Raw genomic sequence first — 19,561 nt, 5'->3', positions numbered from 1 at the left:
CACGCAGAGCCAGTTTCTAAACTGCTCTCCTAGGTTATGATTAGGAACTTGGTATGTTATTCTGATGCCCATACCGATGCCAATTACAGAATTCATAAAGACTTGGAATTGTTAAGTGGTTAGGAATATGGGCTCTGTAGCCGTGCTGCCCAAGTTCAAATCCCACTTTTACCATTACTGGCAGTGTGAGCTGAGACAAGTGAATTAAATTCACTATGTTTCAATTTTTTTCTCATTAGCATCTGCCTTGTATAATTGTTGTGAAGAATGAATGAATTAATCCATGTTTCGAATCTGGTTTAGAGTACTACCTGGCTCATAGTAAGTGCTCAGCAAGTGTTGACTGCTATTGTTATTGTTAAATGGGCACTGGGTAAGTATGGAAAGGGTATACAACTGATTATAAAGAGAAGAAAGCTGCTTTATCTTAAAGCTTGTTTATAAACTTCAAAGGATAAAAAGTATGTCAGCAAGGAAAAAGGAAACCTGGACAAAATGTGAAAGAGAATGAGGATGGCTTGAAATCCTGAGAAGATAAAAGTTTAGGGAATTGTCGCTAAAAATGTAGAATCAGAAGATAAAATTCAAAGCTTATCAGCAAAGGCTCAGATGAGAAAAGCGGGCACTCTAAATGATCCCGAGAGAGCCCCTGCTTATCACTTTAAGGATGTAAATAGTCTCAAGGTCATTGGAAAGTGTGTAGCTCGTTAAAGTTCTCAGCTTCCCTCCAGCCTGGGAGAGATACAAAAGGCTCCTGCCTATTTTGGGCTTTGCTGAATTTCATTTCTGTGGGCACTTCCTGCAGGGACAAATCTGAAGGTCAGTGCCTGTATGCATGTTCATTCTTGCAGCAGAGAATGTAATGCAGTGATGTAAAGAGTAGTCCTGCAGTGACCTTTCCAGCGGGTGTGGTGCCTTGGAGTTTTGTCTTGGAGAAAGCAAATCCTATTTGCTTCTTGGCTCTAGAATGCTAATGGCACTTGGATTTAGAATTAGCCTGGATTAATGCAGCTCTAATAGTGCCTGATGGAGATTAGGGTATCACCCATGGTTTAAGAAGTCTGCTCTGAAATCCTGCTGAGTAGATGGCTAACGAGTACTTGATGAGTTCTCTTCAAAGTGTTTTCTTGTAATGGTAGGAAAATAATGAATAAGCAGATGCCCCAAGCACTGCCATTACATTGTGTTTTCTTGGGTTCCTTCTATTTGTTCCATCACCAATTATATGCATTGTGCACTAAGAAAGTCTTTTTGCTTTTAAAACCCATATATCACGTCGCATTCCTGATACAAACAAAATCAGGAATGTGATGTGATATATGGGCATTTTGTTTAGTTAATAGTGCCCTCATTACTTTCTGATTTCAAGTGTCTGTGCCCTGGTGTATATATACATACTTGCTTATTTTTGAAATCTTGCTGTCACGGGTATCATTTGTGTTTGACATGCATAGGCACCTGAAGGAGAGTGCAGCATAGAGCCCTAATTTATCATTATCTAATATTTTAGTTTTTTTTTTTTTTTTTTTTTTTTTTTTTTACAGTGTCTTGTTCTGTCACCCAGGCTGGAGAGCAGTGACACAATCATGGCTCACTGCAGCCTCGACTTCCTAAGGTTCTTCCCATGGATCAGGCTATCCTCCCACTTCAAGCCTCTCAAGTAGCTGGGACTATAGGCCCATGCTACCATGCCTGGTTAATTTTTGTATTTTTTGTAGAGACAGGGTTTCACCATGTTGGCCAGTCTCATCTTGAACTCCTGGAGTCAAGCGATCTGCCCATCTTGGCCTTCCAAAGTGCTGGATTTCAGGCGTGAGCCATCGCGCCCGGCCTCATTAATATTAATTCAGGTGCCATTGGCTTCCATGGCGGTCATTATCTTAAGGGCTTTGTTTACTGATTTACATTAATCTCTTGGTGTTGAATAATTTATGTATCTTCCTGATGTGTGTTTGTGACTTTGAAATTTTCCCCAACCTCCCTCCTCTTTTTTTGTAAGAAATCTTTCTGAAATAAGTTAAGGAATAAGAATTGTAGAAATCCTTTCTTATAATGTACATATCAGAATTTTAAAAAGAAATGTAATAAATGTAGCTCCATCTTTCCCCACTAAAAACAAATTGTGTAGACAGAGGTGTATTTATTGGTTTCTTTTATATACAGTATTTACCTGAGAGTGTCCGTGATGTTGGAATGACACAATGCAGGATTTAGATTCTACATTGTTAGAGGGCAGGATCTTGCAACCCGTGGGTTCGATAGAACATTTTGGGTAGTAAGTAAGCACTCACTGTATTGGCATTATTCCCTTACCTACATTAGATGTCAAGGAGGGAATTCCTGATCATTTAGATTGTAGGCCTCTGAAACTGAAACGGTTATAAACTAGATAATGATTCTGATCTTAATGAGATTCAGCCAGAAAAACTGCCCAGATCTCTCTTTCTCTGTGTTCCTCTCTCTCTCTCTCCCTTTCTCTCTCTCTCTCTTTCTCTCTCTCTCTCTCTGCCCATAGGAAAAGAAACATGGGCATCTCTTAGATTCAGAAACATGAGCTATTTGGATGAGGGGCAGATTTATTTTCAGAGCCAGAGGCAGTTTGATTATAGATGCTGCCATTTGTATCTCAATGGTAGGAAATTCCTCTTCCCTCAAGCAAACACCTTTCACACTGAAGCCCCTGGCCAAGCTCCATGCACTTTCTCCCCTGGATGTGCCTCTGATTCAGTTTTTAAGCTGCTTTGCCCCTGCATGCTGGAAGGCAGATGATCTCAGCCTGGCACACACAGAAGCCTCTCTCCTCTCCCGGCCCAGCTCTTCCTTCCTCCAGGCGGGGCCAGGCCACAGATGTGTGTTAATGAGAGCTTCTCTTTGTTTACAGGGTTTGGGATGCTCTGACAGACAATTACATCCCTTCACTCTCAGAAGACTGGAGGGATCCAAACATCGAGGCTCTGAATGGCAACTGCTCTGACACTGAGGTACCTCTCCGGGGCCCCTGGTTTAGCAGGGCTTGAGATGTGGAATCCAGTTAGAAAAACATTCAGTAACTCAACAGTCTTCCTCAAAATTGTTGATGGAGGCTCATGCCTGTAATCTCAGCTTTGGGAGACCGAGGTGGGTGATTGCTTGAGTTCAGTAATTTAAGACCAGCCTGGGCCACGTGGTGAAACCCCCATTTCTACCAAAAATACAAAAAATTAGCCAGGCATGGTGGCGCATGCTTGTGGTCCCAGCTACTCAGGAGACTGAGGTGGGAGGATTGCTTGAGCCTAGGAGGTTCAATTAAAAAAAAAATTATTGTTGGGAAGGAGGAGTTGTAGAGGAGGGTGAAAAATAAGGAAGACATCCAGTATATCTGAAATGATAGGAATGGTCATCTATAGAAAAGCAGAAACACAGATCACTTCTATTAGGTTGGTGCAAAAGTAATTTTTTTTCTGCCATTACTTTCCTTTTTTTTTTTTTCTTTTTTTGAGATGGAATCTCGCTCTGTTGCCCAGGCTGGAGTGCAGTGGCACGATCTCGGCTCACTGCAACCTTCGCCTCCCGGGTTCAAGGGAGTCTCCTGCCTCAGCATCCCGAGTAGCTGGGACTACAGGTGCATGCCACTATGCCTGGCTAATTTTTTGTATTTTTAGTAGAGATGTGGTTTCACTGTGTTAGCCAGGATGGTCTTGATCTCCTGACCCCGTGATCCGCCCGCCTTGGCCTTCCAAAGTGCTGGGATTACAGGCGTGAGCCACCACACCCAGCCTGCCATTACTATCAATATTTCTAACCTGTGTACTACAACATGAAAAATAAAGTGGCCTGAAATAAGAGGAGGAAACTGTCATGGCTTCTCTTGGGTTCAAATAATGGTGGTTTAAAAAAATCAGGTTTTCTCATCTTAAATGAACAGTTCAGGCCGGAAATAAGAGGAGGAAACTGTCATGGGCTTCTCTTGGGTTCAAATAATGATGGTTTAAAAAAATTAGATTTTCCCATCTTAAATGAATAGTTCAGGCCCACAAAAACAGTGCTGAGAACAAGTGCTGACGGATCTTGCACTTGACAATGGCCAGAGGTGGGGCCCAGATATTAGCAATGTAGCCACACAGTGGGGAAGAAGTCTCTCTTTTTTTCTCAGACAGGGTCTCACTGTGTCGCCTAGGCTGGAGTGCAGTGGCACAGTCTCGGCTCACTACAGCCTTGACCTCCTGGGCTCAAGTGATCCTCCAGCCTTACCCACCACCCCCTCCCCGAGTAGCTGGGACTACAGGCATACGCCACCATGCCCGGCTAATTTTTGTATTTTTTGTAGAGATGGGATTTTGCCATGTTACCAAGGCTGGTTTCAAACTCCTGAGCTCAAGCAATCCACCCAACTCGGACTCTCAAAGTGTTGGGATTACAGGTGTGAGCCACCATGCTGGCCTAGAATTGTTTATGAAACTCAACCAAGGGGACGTTTATGTGTCTGGACCAGAGTCACACTCCATGAGTTACTGACTCCAAGGGAGAAAGTAGCTTAGGGGCTTCTGAAAAATAAAGATGATATTTATTTTGAGTTGATTTGCAAAGGCCATAAAGGGGGTGACCTTTCAGAAGATCCAAATTGCCCCTCCTATCTGAATCTACATATGGAATGGTTTCTTAGTCAGTTTGGGCTGCTGTAACAGGATACGTTAGACTAAGTAATTTATTAACAACAGAAGTTGATTTTCACAGCTCTGGTGGCAGGGAAGTCCAAGATCAAGGCACTGGCAGATTCAATATCTGGTGAGGACCTGCTTTCTGGTTCACAGACGGCACCTTCTCACTGTGTCCCCACATGGTAGAAGGGTCTAAAGTGCTCCCTTGGGCCTCTTTTAGAAAGATACTTGTGGGCATCCCACCTCCATGATATCATCACCTCCACAAGGTCTCACTGTCTAATACCATCACTTTGGGCATTAGGATTTTAGCATATAAATTTGGGGGGTGGGACATAAACATTCAGAGCACAGCAAAAGATAAAATCATTTAATGGCTCTATGTTAAAAGCAAATTTCTGCCTCACTTGGTTTTCTAGTTTCAGTTGTGAAGGAAATTTGACAATTTATCGTCAGGAAGGGCTGTCACAGCCCTGCAGGCTCAGCAAGTGATAGAGTTGGATGGGTCTAATCTTTCTAAGTGTTTCAGAATTGAGTCCAAGTAAAAGAGCAAGAAACAGATTCCCCTTACTCGGCAATATATTTGTAGATTATTGCTCAAAATAGCACAGCAAAGAGATCAGCAGTTGACTGATTTGTTGAAAATGTAGCCATATATATCCTTCTCCATTTTTCTAGTAATTAGCAATCTAAGGTACTCAAAACCTCAAGGCTTCATTGACGGGAGCAAGTGAGATGATGACTTTGAGACTAAGATTTCCTGCAAGCCTCCTCAGCACAGACATAGGAGGCTGTGTCTCAGGTCCTGTTTTGAACTCTCGGCTGTGCATGTTCTCTTGTAATGCTTACAGGTATGATGCTTAGTACTTACCCAAACCGCAAAGAAGATGGAGGCAATAATGGAATAAATCTAGTTACTGAAATTAAATCAGGTCCGTCATGGTACAAAAGGCAGATTTTGCTTTGTTATCTCTTTTGACACCTTTCCAACTCATTTTGTGAATTAAGCCAAAGGATATATAAGATAGCCTGCCCTTCAAAAGGGCTTTAATTTATCCTCATTTCCAGATTTCCCTCAAGAGGGTTAATATTTCAGGGCAAACTGAATGACCCTGAGAAGGATGATCTTGAGCTCTGTTCCTTGTAGTATTTCTTCTATCTAACCCATGGGAAAAGGACAGGGTAGCAAAAGTAGATGGATTAAGGCTGTTTTATTTCATCCTCTTTTATTATCTGGATTAATTACAGTAGGAGCTCTATTAACTGCCCTAAGTTTAAACGATTTACCAGATTAACCAGTGCTCTGTATTCCTTCTGTAAAACATACGACCAAAAGCGCTTGGCATGCTGAATGTGCACAGCTGTGATGCTTCTCTCTAGTGAGCACTCATACCTCCACTTAAGTGGTCCATTTAAAACAATTTTTTTTATTTTTTGAGATGGTGTCTCTCTCTGTTGCCCAGGCTGGAGTGCAATGGCGCGATCTTGGCTCACTGCAACCTCCGCCTCCCAGGTTCAAGCAATTCTCCTGCCTCAGTTTCCTGAGTAGCTGGGATTACAGGCATGTGCCATCATGCTCAGCTAATTTTTGTATTTTTGTAGAGATGGGGTTTCACTATGTTGCCCAGGCTGGTCTTGAACTCCCAACCTCAGGTGATCCACCCGCCTTGGCCTCCCAAAGTGCTGGGATTATAGGTGTGAGCCGCCACACCTGGCCAAGTGGTCCATTTTTAAGAATCAGTTGTCCCCAAACCTGTTTGTGCTGTCCTTGTGACTGCACTAAGAAATTTAATTAAATATTGTACCAACTATTGAATTGTGACTGCAAAGAGTGTCATTTTTTGTTAAAATCAAAGTAACACGTCTACATAGTTTAAAAAGTTAATTAATGCTTTGAAAGTAATGCACTGTAAGTGCAAGACAAAACAACCACCCAAAACAGTAGACCCCTGCCTTCTTGTCTTTCCCTACTCCATACAGGCAACTGCTTGCATTTCTTTTAGCTGCCTTTTTTTTTTTTTGCATAAAGCTCCACTTTTATAGTGGGGCCATGCGGGGCCACATGGGGAAGCTCCAGTGTCCCCTGGAGGCAGAAGGAGCCAGGGGAGAGCCAGGCCAGTGCCTCAGGAATGGCGAGATGGGGTAAACAGTTTAGGACTGGCTAGTTTGAGTAATTTCTGCAAGCTGTAAACACTAGGGATGGTCCTTAGTGCCTAGTACCTGACTCTGGGATGACTAAGGAAGAGGACTCTGCCTCCTGGGATGTAAAGGTCAGGTAGAGGCGGCAGGGCTTGGCTTTGGTTAGTTTGCATATAGAAGGCTTGCTGAGCCCTTTGCTATCTCTAAGAATTGGCTAATTTTTTGTGTGTGTGTGTGATGGAGTCACACTCTGTCACTCAGGCTGGAGTGCAGTGGCACGATCTCGGCTCACTGCAACATCCACCTCCCAGGTTCAAGCAATTCTCCTGCCCCACCCTCCCAGGTAGCTGGAATTACAGGAATGCACCATGACGCTCAGCTAATTTTTTTTTTTTTTTTGTATTTTTGGTAGAAACAGGGTTTTGCATATTGGCCAGGCTAGTCTTGAACTTCTGATCTCAAGTGAGCCGCCTGCCTTGGCCTCCCAAAGTGCTGGGATTACAGGTGTGAGGCACTGTACCCAGCCAGAATTGGCTAATCTTGAAGGTACAGTCTATCCCCACCAGAAAGATCTTTAAAATGTTAAAAATCATAATTTTCAGAAAATTAAAAAGTATAAATAACACAATGCTTAAATAAATCAGATACTATATTGTGTCAATTCCATGTTTTTTTCTTGAAAACATCCCAGTTAGTACCTTTCATCTTTCTGCTACAAACTGGTCTGGTCATTCGCTAGATCAGCTGCACAGCTGCTGTCCTGAGAACGTCCTTCCCTTCATGCTGGGGATTCTTTTGTCTTCCACTCCTGTCTTCTGGTTACCATATTTTAAAAATCTTTCTAGATATAGTTCCTTGTTTTGGTGAAAAAAACCAACAACAAACCAAACTATTCAGCATATTTTTGAGAAAGGAGTACAGAGGAAATGGTTTTTAGGATATATAAGAATATTATTATTTAGCATTCTGAGGGCTTTGTTCTCTTCTAGCATTAGGTCGTGTTGAGAAACCCCAAATCTGTTCCGATTCCCAGTCCTTCTTTTTAGGCTGACTCTGTTCTCCATCTTTAGATTCCTGCTCCTTTATTATATGACTTTTTTGGTTCTTTCTGGAAGCTTTTAGGATGTTCTTTTCCTTTCTCATTTGAAATTTTACAATAATGTGCTTTAGAATGAATTTTTTCCTTCATTATGTTGTCCTCAGTGAGTCCTTTCAACATAGAAGCTCATGACTTCAAATTGTGACGTTTTCTTATTATTTTTTCTGAAGATTTATTATTTCTATTTACTGCCTCTGTGGAGATGATTATATAGCTTTTCTCCTTTATGATGTTAATGTGATGAATTTCATAAATTAATTTGCAAATGTCAACTCAACCATGCATTCTTGAGATACACACAACTTCATCATGATATATTATCATTTTATTTTATTCTGTTTTTCCCCCCATATCGTAATTGAAAGGTAATTGGCATATAATGAGCTGCACATATTAAAGTGAGCAATGCGGTAAATTTTGACATCTGCATATATCTGCGAAACCATCACCACAATCAAGATATTCAACATATTCCTCATCCCTCTCTCTCACCGCCCAATCTCTGGGCAACCACTTATCTGCTTTCTGTCGTTGTAGATTAGTTTTCATTTTCTAGAATTTTGCATGAATGGAATCATGCAATATGTACATTTTCTTTTGTCTGGCTTATTAAACTCAATGTAATTAGGTATTCATCCATGTTTTTAAGTATAGCAACAGTTCATTTCTTTTTATTGTTGAGTAGTATTCTGTTGTATGGATATATCACCAGCGGCTTATTCATTCGCTTATAGATGAACAGTTTTTTTTCTACTTTTTGCATATTTCAAATGAAGCTGCTGTGAACATTTTTCTGTAGGTCTTTGTGTGAACATATGCTTCCATTTCTCTTAGATAAAAACCTATGTGTGGAATGGCTGAGTCATATGGTAGGTGTATGTTCAACTTTTTTTTTTTAGCTTTTATTTTAAGTTCAGGGGTACATGTGCAGGTTTGTTACATAGGTAAATTGTGTCATGGGGGTTTGTTGTACAGATTATTTCATCACCCAGGTATTAAACCTAGTATACATTGGTTATTTTTCCTGATCCTCTCCCTCCTCCCACCCTTCATCCTCCAGTAGGGCCCAGTGTGTATTGTTCCCTTCCGTGTGTCCATTTGTTCTCATCATTTAACTCCCATGTCTAAATTTTTAAGGAACTACCAAACTGTTGCCCAGTTTGAGAGCTGTAATTGTCCCATATTCTCACTAACACTTGTTATGGACAATCTTTAAAATTTAGACATCTTCATGGGTAGTAACAAAATTGATACCTTATTTCAGTTCTAATTTGCTTTTCTCTAGTGACATAGAATATTGAGCATCTTTTCAAGTGATTATTTACAATGTGTGTGTGTGTGTGTGTGTGTGTGTGTGTGTGTGTATTTTTGAGACAGGGTCTTGCTGTGTTGCCCAGTCTGGAGGGCAGTGGCTCAATCTCAGCTCACAGCAACCTCCACCTCCCGGACTCAAGCAATCTTCACACCTCAGCTCCCCAAGTAGCTGGGACCATAGGTGCACACCTCCACACCCAGCTAATTTTTGTATTTTTAGAAGAGATGAGATTTCACCATGTTGCCTAGGATGGTCTTGAATTCCTGAGCTCAAGTGATCCACCTGCCCCGGCCTCCCAAAGTGCTGGGATTACAGGCGTGACTGTGCCCGGCCTGTATGTTTTCTTTGGTGAAATGCCTCTTCAAATCTTTTGTGCATTTTTTTAGTACATTGTTTGTGTTCTTAGTATTGAGTTGTAAGAGTTTCTTTTTTTCTTTGAGTTGGAGTCTTGCTCTGTCACCCAGGCTGGAGTGCAGTGGTGCAATCTCAGCTCACTGCAACCTCTGCCTCCCAGGTTCAAGTGATTCTCCTGCCTTAGCCTTCTGAGTAGCTGGGATTACAGATGCACACCACCATGACTGGCTAATTTTTGTATTTTTAGTAGAGACGGGGTTTCACCATGTTGGTCAGGCTAGTCTCGAACTCCTGACCTTGTGATCCGCCTGCCTTGGCCTCCCAAAGTGCTGGGATTACAGGCATGAGCCACCGTGCTTGGCCATAAGAGTTTCTTATAAATTCTAGATAAAAATTATTTGTTGAATGTATGTTTTACAAATATTTTCTCCTAGTCTATAGGTTGCCTTTTAATTTTCTTAACATTATCTTTTGAAGAGCAAATGTTTTTTAAATGTGATGAAGGCTGAGTGTGGTGGCTCAAGCTTGTAATCCCAGCATTTTGGGAGACTAAGGTGGGCAGATTGCTTGAGGCCAGGAGTTAAAGACCAGACTGGGCAACATAGTGAGATCCCCTCTCAAAAAGAAAAATTAGGCCGGGCGTGGTAGCTCATGTCTGTAATCCCAGCACTTTGGGAGGCCAAGGTGGGTGGATCACGAGGTCAGCAGATTGAGACCATGCTGGCTAACACGGTGAAACCCTGTCTCTACTAAAAATACAAAAAAAAAAAAAAAAAAAATTAGCCTGGCATGGTGGCACGTGCCTGTAATCCCAGCTACTCAGGAGGCTGAAGCAAGAGAATTGCTTGAACCCGGGAGGCAGAGGTTGCAGTGGGTTGAGATTGCACCATTGCACTCCAGTCTGGGCAACAGAGTGAGACTCCATCTCAAAAAAAAAAAGAAAAGGAAAATTAAATGTGATGAGGTCCAATTTATTGATATTTTCCTTTTTATACTTTGTGTTTATGTTGTATTTAAGAAATCTTTGTTAAACCCAAGGTCACTAAGATTTTTTTCTTAAGTTTTCTTCTAGAAGTTTTATAATTTTAGCTCTTGTATTTAGGTCTATGATCCATCTCAAATCAGTTTCTTTCTGTTTTTTTTTTTTTTTTTGAAATGGAGTCTTGCTCTGTTGCCCAGGCTGGAGTGCAGTGACTCAATATTGGCTCACTGCAGCCTCCACCTCCCAGGTTCAAGCAATTCTTCTGTCTGTGCCTCCTGAGTAGCTGGGATTACAGGTGCCTGCAACCATGCCCAGCTAATTTTTGTATTTTTAGTAGAGGCAGAGTTCTACTATTTTGGCCAGACTGGTCTTGAACTCCTGACCTCAAGTGATCCACCCGTCTTGGCCTCCCAAAGTGCTGGGATTACAGGTATGAGCCACTGTGCCCAGCCTTCAAATTAGTTTTGTATATAGTATGGAGTAAGGGTCAGGGCTCATTTTTTAAAATTTTTGATTCCCAGGTTGCTGTTTCCCAGGTTGGTCTTGAGCTCCTTGGCTCAAGCCATCCACCTGCTTCAGCCTCCCCAATTGCTGGGACTACCGAGGCACTCCACAGTGCTGGGCTTCAAGGTTTATTTTTCTGCATATGGCTATTCAATTATTCCAGTACCATTCATTGAAAATCTTATTCCTTCCCCATTAAATTGTTTTGGCATCTTTGTTGAAAATCAATTGATCATGTATGTGCGGATCTACTTCTGAATTCTTTTTTCTGTTTCAATGATATATATATGTGTGTGTCTTTTTTTATCATCCCTAATTTATTTTAAAATGTGTCTATCTTTATGCCAATCCCACACTGTATTGATTGCTGTAGCTTTATGGTAAGTCTTGAAATAAAGTAATATAAGTTCTCCAACTGTGTCCTTTTTTTTTCTTTCCAAATTTGTTTTAGTTATTTTAGGTTATTTACATTTCCATATAAATCTTGGAATCAGCAGATGAATTTTTGCAAAAAATCTTGCTGGAAATTTGACTTTGATTGTGTAGAATCTACAGACCAATTTATATATGTAGATCAATTTATCATGTTAATGTGATGAATTACATTAATTGGTTTTCAAATATTAAACCAGCATTTTATTTTAAAATAAACCCCACTTAGTTATGATATTTTATCTTTTTTATATAATGTGGGATTTGATTTGCCGATATTTTATTAAAGATTTTTGCATCATGTTCTTTTTCTGAAATTTTATTTTGTTCTAATGTCATAAAATAAGTTGGAAATTATCCTCTCTATCTCTACTTTGTGAAAGAATTTGTATTACATTGGTATTATTTCTTCCCTGAATGTTTGATAGACTATACTAGTGAAAGCATCTGGGCCTAGGGTTTTCTCTGTGGAAGATTTTCAGTTACAAATTCAATTTTACTGAGTCAGGTTTGATAAGTTACATTTCTCAAGGAATTTATCTATTTAATCATTGAATGTATTGAACATTCATTTGTTTATAATTTTGTTTTGTTATTGAAAATGTCTGTAAGATTTATAGTGATGTTCCCTTTTCTATTCCTGACATTGTTAATTTGTGTTCTCTCTCCCTCCATCCCTCTCTCACTCTCTCTTGTCAGCTGGTCTGTGGGATTATCACCTTTATTAATCTTTTCAGAGAACCACTTTTTATTTCTTTGATTTCCTTTATTGTTTGTTAACTTTTTAGTTTATTGATTCCCTCTCTTAGCTTTATTACTTCCTTCCTTCTACTTAGTAGGAGTTTAATTTGCCCTCATTTTTTTAGCTTCTTAAGGTAGGAAATTTGATTATATTTTAAACTTAAAAAAACTTAAAGCTATAAAATTCCCTTTAAGCACTGTTTTAGCTGAATTCTACATATTTTGATTGGGTATGTTTTCATCATTCAATTAAAAACATAGTTTCTAATTTTTTCTTGCAATTTCTTCTTTAACCCATAGGTTATTTGGCAGTTTGCTGCTGAATTTCAAAGTGCTTGGGAGGTTTTATAGCTATCTTGTTAAAAATTGATTTCTAATTTAATTTTGTCAGAGAACATACTTTGTATGACTTAAATCTTTTAAAATACGTTCAGACTGATTTAGGGTCCAGCATATGGTACGTCTTAGTGAATGTAATATATGCCATTGGAAATGATGCACATTCTGCAATTGTTGGTTGTAATGTGCTATAAATGTCAACCAGGTTAACTTGGTTGATAGTATTGTTGAATTCCTGTGTTCCAAATGATATTTTTTGTCTGTTTATTCTATCAATTAATGAGAAAGGTTTATTAAAATCTCCAACCATTGTTGTGCATTTATTTCTATTTCTTTAGTTCTGTTGATTTTTGTTTTATATATTTTGAAGCTCTGAGTACATCTCCCTGATGAGTTGACCCTTTTATCATTATGAAATGTCATTCTTTCTCTGTAATGCTTATCTTAAAATCTACTTTGTTTGATATGAATGTAGCCACTTAAGCTTTCTTATGCATACTGTTTGCAAAGTGTGTGTGTGTGTGTGTGTGTGTGTGTGTGTATCTATCTCAATCCTTTTAGTTTCTGCCTATCTCTGTCTTTTTATTTAAAGTGTGTTTTTGCAGGTAGTGTATACTTGGATCTTGTTTTTATATTCAGTCTGACAATTTATGCTTCTTGATTATTGTGTTTAGTTTATTTGCATAGTGTGTAGTCCATTGACATTTGGCATAATATTGATAATTTGTGTTGGAGCGTATTGTCTTCATTTCTGATTGTCCCATCTGGTTTTGTTGCTGTTTTGTTGTTCCTCTGTTCCACACTTTTTGTCTTCTTTTGGGTTAATCAAATATTCTTTGGCTTTGCATCTTATGTCTTCTGTTGGATTTTTATCTATACCTTGTCGTATTTTTCTTTAGTGGTTTCTCTAGGGGTTACACTATACATTATTAATTAATCATAGTCCATTTAGAATTAATATTGTACACTTTACATAAAATGTAAAACATTTGTCACAGTATAAAGTCTATTCCTTCCATCTTTTGTGCTATAATTGTCATATATTTTATTTCAATCTACATTATATACTCCACAACACAAAGTTATTATTTTTGCTTTAGACAGTTAGTTGTCTTTTAAGAAAATCAAAAGAAGGAAAAAAAAGATACTTTTAAAATATTTACCTATGTATTTATCATTTCTGGCATTCCTTATTTTTTCCTGAAGATTCTGATTTTCTATCATTTCCTTTCAACCCAAAATGCTTTTTATAGCATTTCTTTTGGTGTAGAGCCACAGGTGACAGATTCCTTTAGCCTTCATTTATTTATCTCATTTATTTCATGTTTTTCCCTTCTTTCAAAACACACAGCCTTGCACTGCCTGTGTCCAGTGCCTGAAAACAATTGGCTCATAGATTTTGTCCAGATTGTAGTTGTTTATGGTAGGAGGGATAAGTCCAATACCAGTTACTCTGTCATGGCTGAAAGGGGCCATCTCTTCTGTTTTTGCTTTCTAGAATTCCTTTTATTCAAGTATTGGACTTCTGAAGCTGATCTTCTGAATATTTTTCCCCGCCCATAATTCTATCTGCTTATTTTGTTTCACTCTCCAGGGAACTTTCTCAGCCTTCAGCTCGATGGAAAAGTCTAAATTTTCTATCATACCTTTAATTTCTAAGAGCCCTTTCCAGTTTTTACAGAATTTGTGTGTTTTTAAAATTTTTTTCTGGTCTTAGTAAGTGTACATCTTTGTAGTTTTTAAATGAATTCTGATAAATAGGACACATTTTGAGGAAGCAAGGTGTTCTGTTATCCTTCTGAAGGCAGGTATAGCAGTTTCTTAGAAGAGGTTTCTTCTGCTCTCTCTGTTGCTTTTGATTTCTCTTCTCTATACATTTTCATCTTTCATGTTGGGGGCTATTCTCAAATGTCTGGCAATCCTTGAGCATCTTTTCATATTTAAAAGTGAGGCTTTATGGCCAGGCATGGTGGTTTACTCCTATAATCCTAGCACTTTGGGAGGACAAGGCAGGGGGATCCCTTGATCCTAGGAGTTTGTGACCAGCCCCATCTCTACAACTCTACCAAAAAACAAAAACAAAAAAAACAAAAAGGTAGCCAGGGGATGGAGTGCACTTGCAGTCCCAACTACTTGGGAGGCCAAGGCAGGAGGATCACTTGAGCCCAGAATTTTCAATACCAGCCTGGCCAACACAGTAAGACCCTGTCTCTACAAAAAATTAAAAAAAAAAAAAAAAGCATTAGCTGGGCCTGGTGGCATGCACCTGTAGTCCCAGCTACTTGGGAGGCTGAGGCTAGAGAATCGCTTGAGCTTAGGAGTTTGAGGCTACAGTGAGCTATGATTACACCATTTCACACCAGCCTGGGCAACAGAGCAAGCCCCTGTCTCTAAAAACATTAATTTTAAAAAAAATGGCTGGTGATAGCTCACGCCTGTAATCTCAACACTTTAGGAGGCCGAGGCAGGTGAATTGCTTGTGCTCAGGAGTTTGAGACCAGCCTAGGAAACATGGCAAGTTCCCCATCTCTACAAAAAATACAAAAGTTAGTTGGGCATGGTGGCATGCGCCAGTAGTCCCAACTACTCAGGAGGCTGAGGTGGGAGGATTGCTTGAGCCGGGGAGGCAGAGGTTGCAGTGAGCTGAGATCAAGCCACTCCCCTTCAGTCTAGGTGACAGAGGGAAACCCTTGGAAAAAAAGAAAGTGAGGCCCTAGAAGGCTATGGGGTCAGGGCTTGTTTCCTGCTGGATCACAGTGCCAGTAAGGACCTATGCGTCTTGTTCGGAGATCTTGACAGTTGGCATGTATTTGTAGACTTATAGCATCCATAGAGAGGTGTTCTCCAATGGCTTGATGGACAGAATAAACCAGCTGCCAGTGTCCTTGGAGCCTACTCAGGGAAGGAGGCCAGAGGTCTGTCTGGTGAGTCATTCTGTAGAGTCTTACATCCTCTCTCTGTTTTTGGTGAGAACCCTCACCCTCACTTTTAGGTGGCCTGGTGCTCTGAGTCCAGAACCTCCAGTTCAACCTGCTCAGAGTGAAGTCTACAGTCCTTTTGAGCTGAGAGGATGCAGTCCCTTTTTATCTGGGTTGGAAGAAGACACTTGGGTCTCATTATTCTTGATGAAGAATACCAGCAAATCTTCCTTACATAGCCCCGCCATGCTGCCCCTCGGGGTCTGCAATTCCTGAGCCATTCAGTATCTGCTGTGTGACCCCCTTTACCTTGGGCAGCCTGCTCTCGCCAAGTTTAACCCTGCTGAGCCTGCTGGGCCGGCGTCTGTTTTCTGGCATTTCTCTTGCTGTTGCCTTTTCTCCTGTTCACTTTGTCCCTTTTGGGTTATTCTTTTTTGATCCCTTGACTCTCATTTTAGTAGGGTTTGAGGAGGAAGGGCTGATAAATTTGTGCCCAATCTCCTGTGTACCCACCTTCTACTATAAAGAAATGGAAACAGGAAATCATTTTAAAAATTATGTTATGGGCTGGGTGTGGTGGCTCACACCTGTAAGCACAGCACTTTGGGAGGCTGAAGTAGGAAGATCACTTGAGCCTAGGAGTTAGAAGCCAGCCTGGGTAAAGATAAAGAGGGAGTATTGGACTCAATCTTTACAAAAAAATGAAAAAGTTTGCCATGAGTGGTGGTGTGCACCTATGTTCCTAGCTACTTGGGAGGCTGAGGTGGAAGAATTGCCTGATCCCAGGAAAGGGAGGCTGCAGTGGACTTTGATCATGTCATTGGACTCCAGCCTGGGTGATATTGTGAGACTCTGTTTAAAAAAAGAAAAAAAAAAGTTATTATGTGGATGATGCAAGAGAGACTGTGGAACTCTACTCAGAGTTTCATTGTAAGCTTGGTCCTACACTAGGAACTTGGTGAATAAATAAATGTACATTTACATTTTTAGGTCAAAATAATTTGCTTGAGTTAATATGTCTGTAGGAGGCATTATTATTTTTTTCACAATTTACCACTTTTACTGGGGCTTTCGATTCATCAATCTATTCTATTCCTGTGATGTAAAACACAGTCTCCTTTTACCTTATAACCTTTATTTAATAGCAGATAGTGGTTGTCTGGATAAGAGGAAATTGGAAGTCCAGGATAGTGAATTATGTCTTTCATATTTTTGAGACAGGATCTCACTATGTCACCCAGGCTAGAGTACAGTGGCAACAGTCATGGCTCACTACAGCCTCCACCTCCCTGGCTCAAGCAATCCTCCCACCTCCATCTCCTGAGTAGCTGGGACTACAGGTGTGCACCACCATGCCTGGCTAATTTTGTTCATTTTTTTTGTAGAGACAGAGTTTCACTATGTTGCCCAGGCTGGGCTCAAGTGACCCTCCCACCCTGGCCTCCCAAATTGCTGGAATTACAGGCATGAGACACCATGCCCAGTCACATCTTCCTCTTTTCCAGGTGACTAAATAGCTAAGTTACCTGTGGAAGTGGACTGAATCTAGATGATAGTACTGCTCTCAGTCCTCTCTTTTTCAATTGTTCATTAATTCTTTCAACAAATATGTGTTGGCTGCATGCCCTAGTGCATCTCCCTATGGGAATGCACAGCCATTGACTTAATCCACGCAGATGTTTCCTGGTTGTTCATAAGCATAAAAGGGACATAGTTACCAGGCACAGTGGCTCACACCTGTAATCCCACTCGGGAGGCTGAGGTGGGAGGATTGCTTGAGGCCAGGAGTTTGAGACCAGCCTGGGCAACACAGTGAGACCCCTATCTCTAAAAAAATTCAAAACAAAAAAAATCTTAGTCAGGTGTGGTGGCACCTGCCTGTAGTCCCAGCTACTTGGGAGGCTGAGGCAGGAGGATCACTCGAGCAAAGGAGTTAGAGGCTGCATTGAGCCATGATTGTGCCACTGCATTCCAGCTTGTGTGACACAGCGAGATCCTGTGTCTAAAAAAAAAAAAAATGGGACACAGTTGTTGTGAATTTCTTTTTTTTTTTTTACTTTTTGTCTGAAGGTAAAAATGTATCTTTGTTCTCTTAATTTTTGTCAGGGGGGCAACCACTCATGTCAAACAATAGTGGTAAGGGGAGGAAAATATTATGCAAAGGGCTAAATATGCTGTAAAAATTACCTTTTCTATGAATGGGGTCATTTGAAACACTTTAATAAAATACACTGGTTAATAGTCATTATTGGAATCAAGGGCTCCACATAATTTTAATCATCATTCAGAATACTTCACTGTGCAGCAAGATTTAGCAATGTTATAGGCCTTGGGGAAAGTTTTCTGCATTTCTTTTCAAGTTTCAAGCTTTCATGTTATAGTCCTAGAGACACACTCTTCCCAAAAGCAGGAGGAAGAAACAGCTTGCTGAATGGTATAGCCAGACCCCTTTCTGGATTCAAATCTTCTCAATTCTGGGAATAAATCATTTGGAAGAATGACTTTTCTTGGAAAAGCATAGTTCACGTCAATAGTATCCAAACAGCTAGCAAGGTGTTTTTTTTTTTAGACAGGATCTCACTTTGTCATCCAGGCTGGAGTGCAGTGGCATAATCACGGCTCACTGCAGCCTCACTGCAGCCTCCATCTCCATGGCTCAATTGATCCTCCCACCTCAGCCTCCTGAGTAGTTGGGACTACAGGTGTGCCATCATGCCTGACTAATTTTTCTATTTTTTTAGAGACGGAGTCTTGCCATGTTGCCCAGGTTGGTCTCGAACTCCTGGACTCAAGCAATCCTCTCATCTCGGCCTCCCAAAGTGCTGGGATTACAGGTGTAAGCCACCACATCTGGTAACAACTAGCAGTTTTAGCTGACAAAGAAATTCAGCCCTAAATGACCTGGCCTGAAGTTATTTTTGACATGTATCTTCCCCACTGCTGCACAAGGGGCTAAAGGAACTCTCTACCGTGATATCTATGTCAGTGTCTTATGCTAGGATTAAGAGTATTTATATGCACAAGGGCTGTCATTTTTCAAAAACCTTTCTTTCTTCCTCTGTCATTGTTTCCCCTCCAGCTCTCCACCCTGTGCACAAGATACTGTCCTGGTCAAGGAGGGGAGGGAAGGAGTCTGTAAACAGTGCCCGTAAAGAGGCAAGGGCTTGTGAAGTGATGGATGCTGTTGGAACAGAGCAAAGTCTGGCAGGATGGACAGAAAATGTGGGAACCAGGCCTAGGGAGGGTGGGAAGGGTGAGAGGATCAGAATCAAACGCTGGAGAGGGAGGTGAAGAGGCTGGGGCACGATGGAGGTGGGGAAGCCCAAGGATTAGGGGGTAACCCGCACATAGAGGGAAGGAGCCAGGGTTTTCTTGGCCGTATTTTATGTCTGCCTCTCCTTTTATTTTATTTTTTAGTGGCAGACTTCTGAGAAATAAGAAAATAAGGGATGAGTATGGTTCCCATAAGAGTAGGAACTCACAGTACCTTTCATAAGCTTATAATTGATTTTCCCATCTCTGTTTTCCCAAGCCTGACAATTCAGACCTGGAGGCTTTGCGCCTGAGAGGGGGAGGGGAGAGAAACTCTACTAGTGCATCATTCCGGCCACAGCCCAGGCTTATTAGCATTTGAGCAGCAAGAAGGATCTATCCCTAGAAGCTTCCTCCCTGCCTTCTTCCTGGAACTCCCCAAGGAGTGAGGAACTTGGGGAGGGAGGAGATGATATAGTTGAAAGAAGCAATATTAACAGTCAGGGAGTTAAACCCACTACAATCAGCCACATTTCAGAAAAGGTAAACATGCCATTTTTATATAGACTTAGTGCCCACCACCCCCTACCCCCTGCCAAATCCTGGTTATAGACTAACAGTTGCTGTTAGATGCTTATGAAAAATAACCCTGTTTCCCAGGATGAGCCTAACTTGGGCTCACACTAACTTGGGCTGGGTTCATATTGATACATTTCTTCCTTTTTCTCCCCTAATTTTTGTCTGGAGGAAAAAATGTATCTTCGTTCTCTTAATTTTGGGCTAACTTCTACTGCAGGATTTTCTGGCCTGAAGAAAGTTCTTCCATATGAGTGTAGTTGTGAACAAAGC

General features: G+C 40.8%; 1 protein-coding gene across 3 annotated transcripts in view; it reads left to right on the top strand.

Moving 5' to 3' along the window:
- The window catches only part of FEZ1 (fasciculation and elongation protein zeta 1), a 53,385-nt gene that overhangs the window by 11,751 nt on the left and 22,073 nt on the right, over positions 1-19,561 (top strand). For all 3 annotated transcript variants that reach the window (NM_005103.5, XM_005271735.3, XM_005271734.3), the window contains exon 3: positions 2,882-2,981. In NM_005103.5, coding sequence (NP_005094.1) covers positions 2,882-2,981 — 100 coding nt within the window. The remainder of the gene's footprint in view (positions 1-2,881; positions 2,982-19,561) is intronic.

The sequence above is a fragment of the Homo sapiens genome, chromosome 11, assembly GCF_000001405.40.
Source record: "Homo sapiens chromosome 11, GRCh38.p14 Primary Assembly".
NCBI lineage: Eukaryota > Metazoa > Chordata > Mammalia > Primates > Hominidae > Homo > Homo sapiens.
The sequence above is the reverse complement of the archived record's forward strand: the minus strand, read 5'-3'. Positions and strand labels throughout refer to the sequence as shown.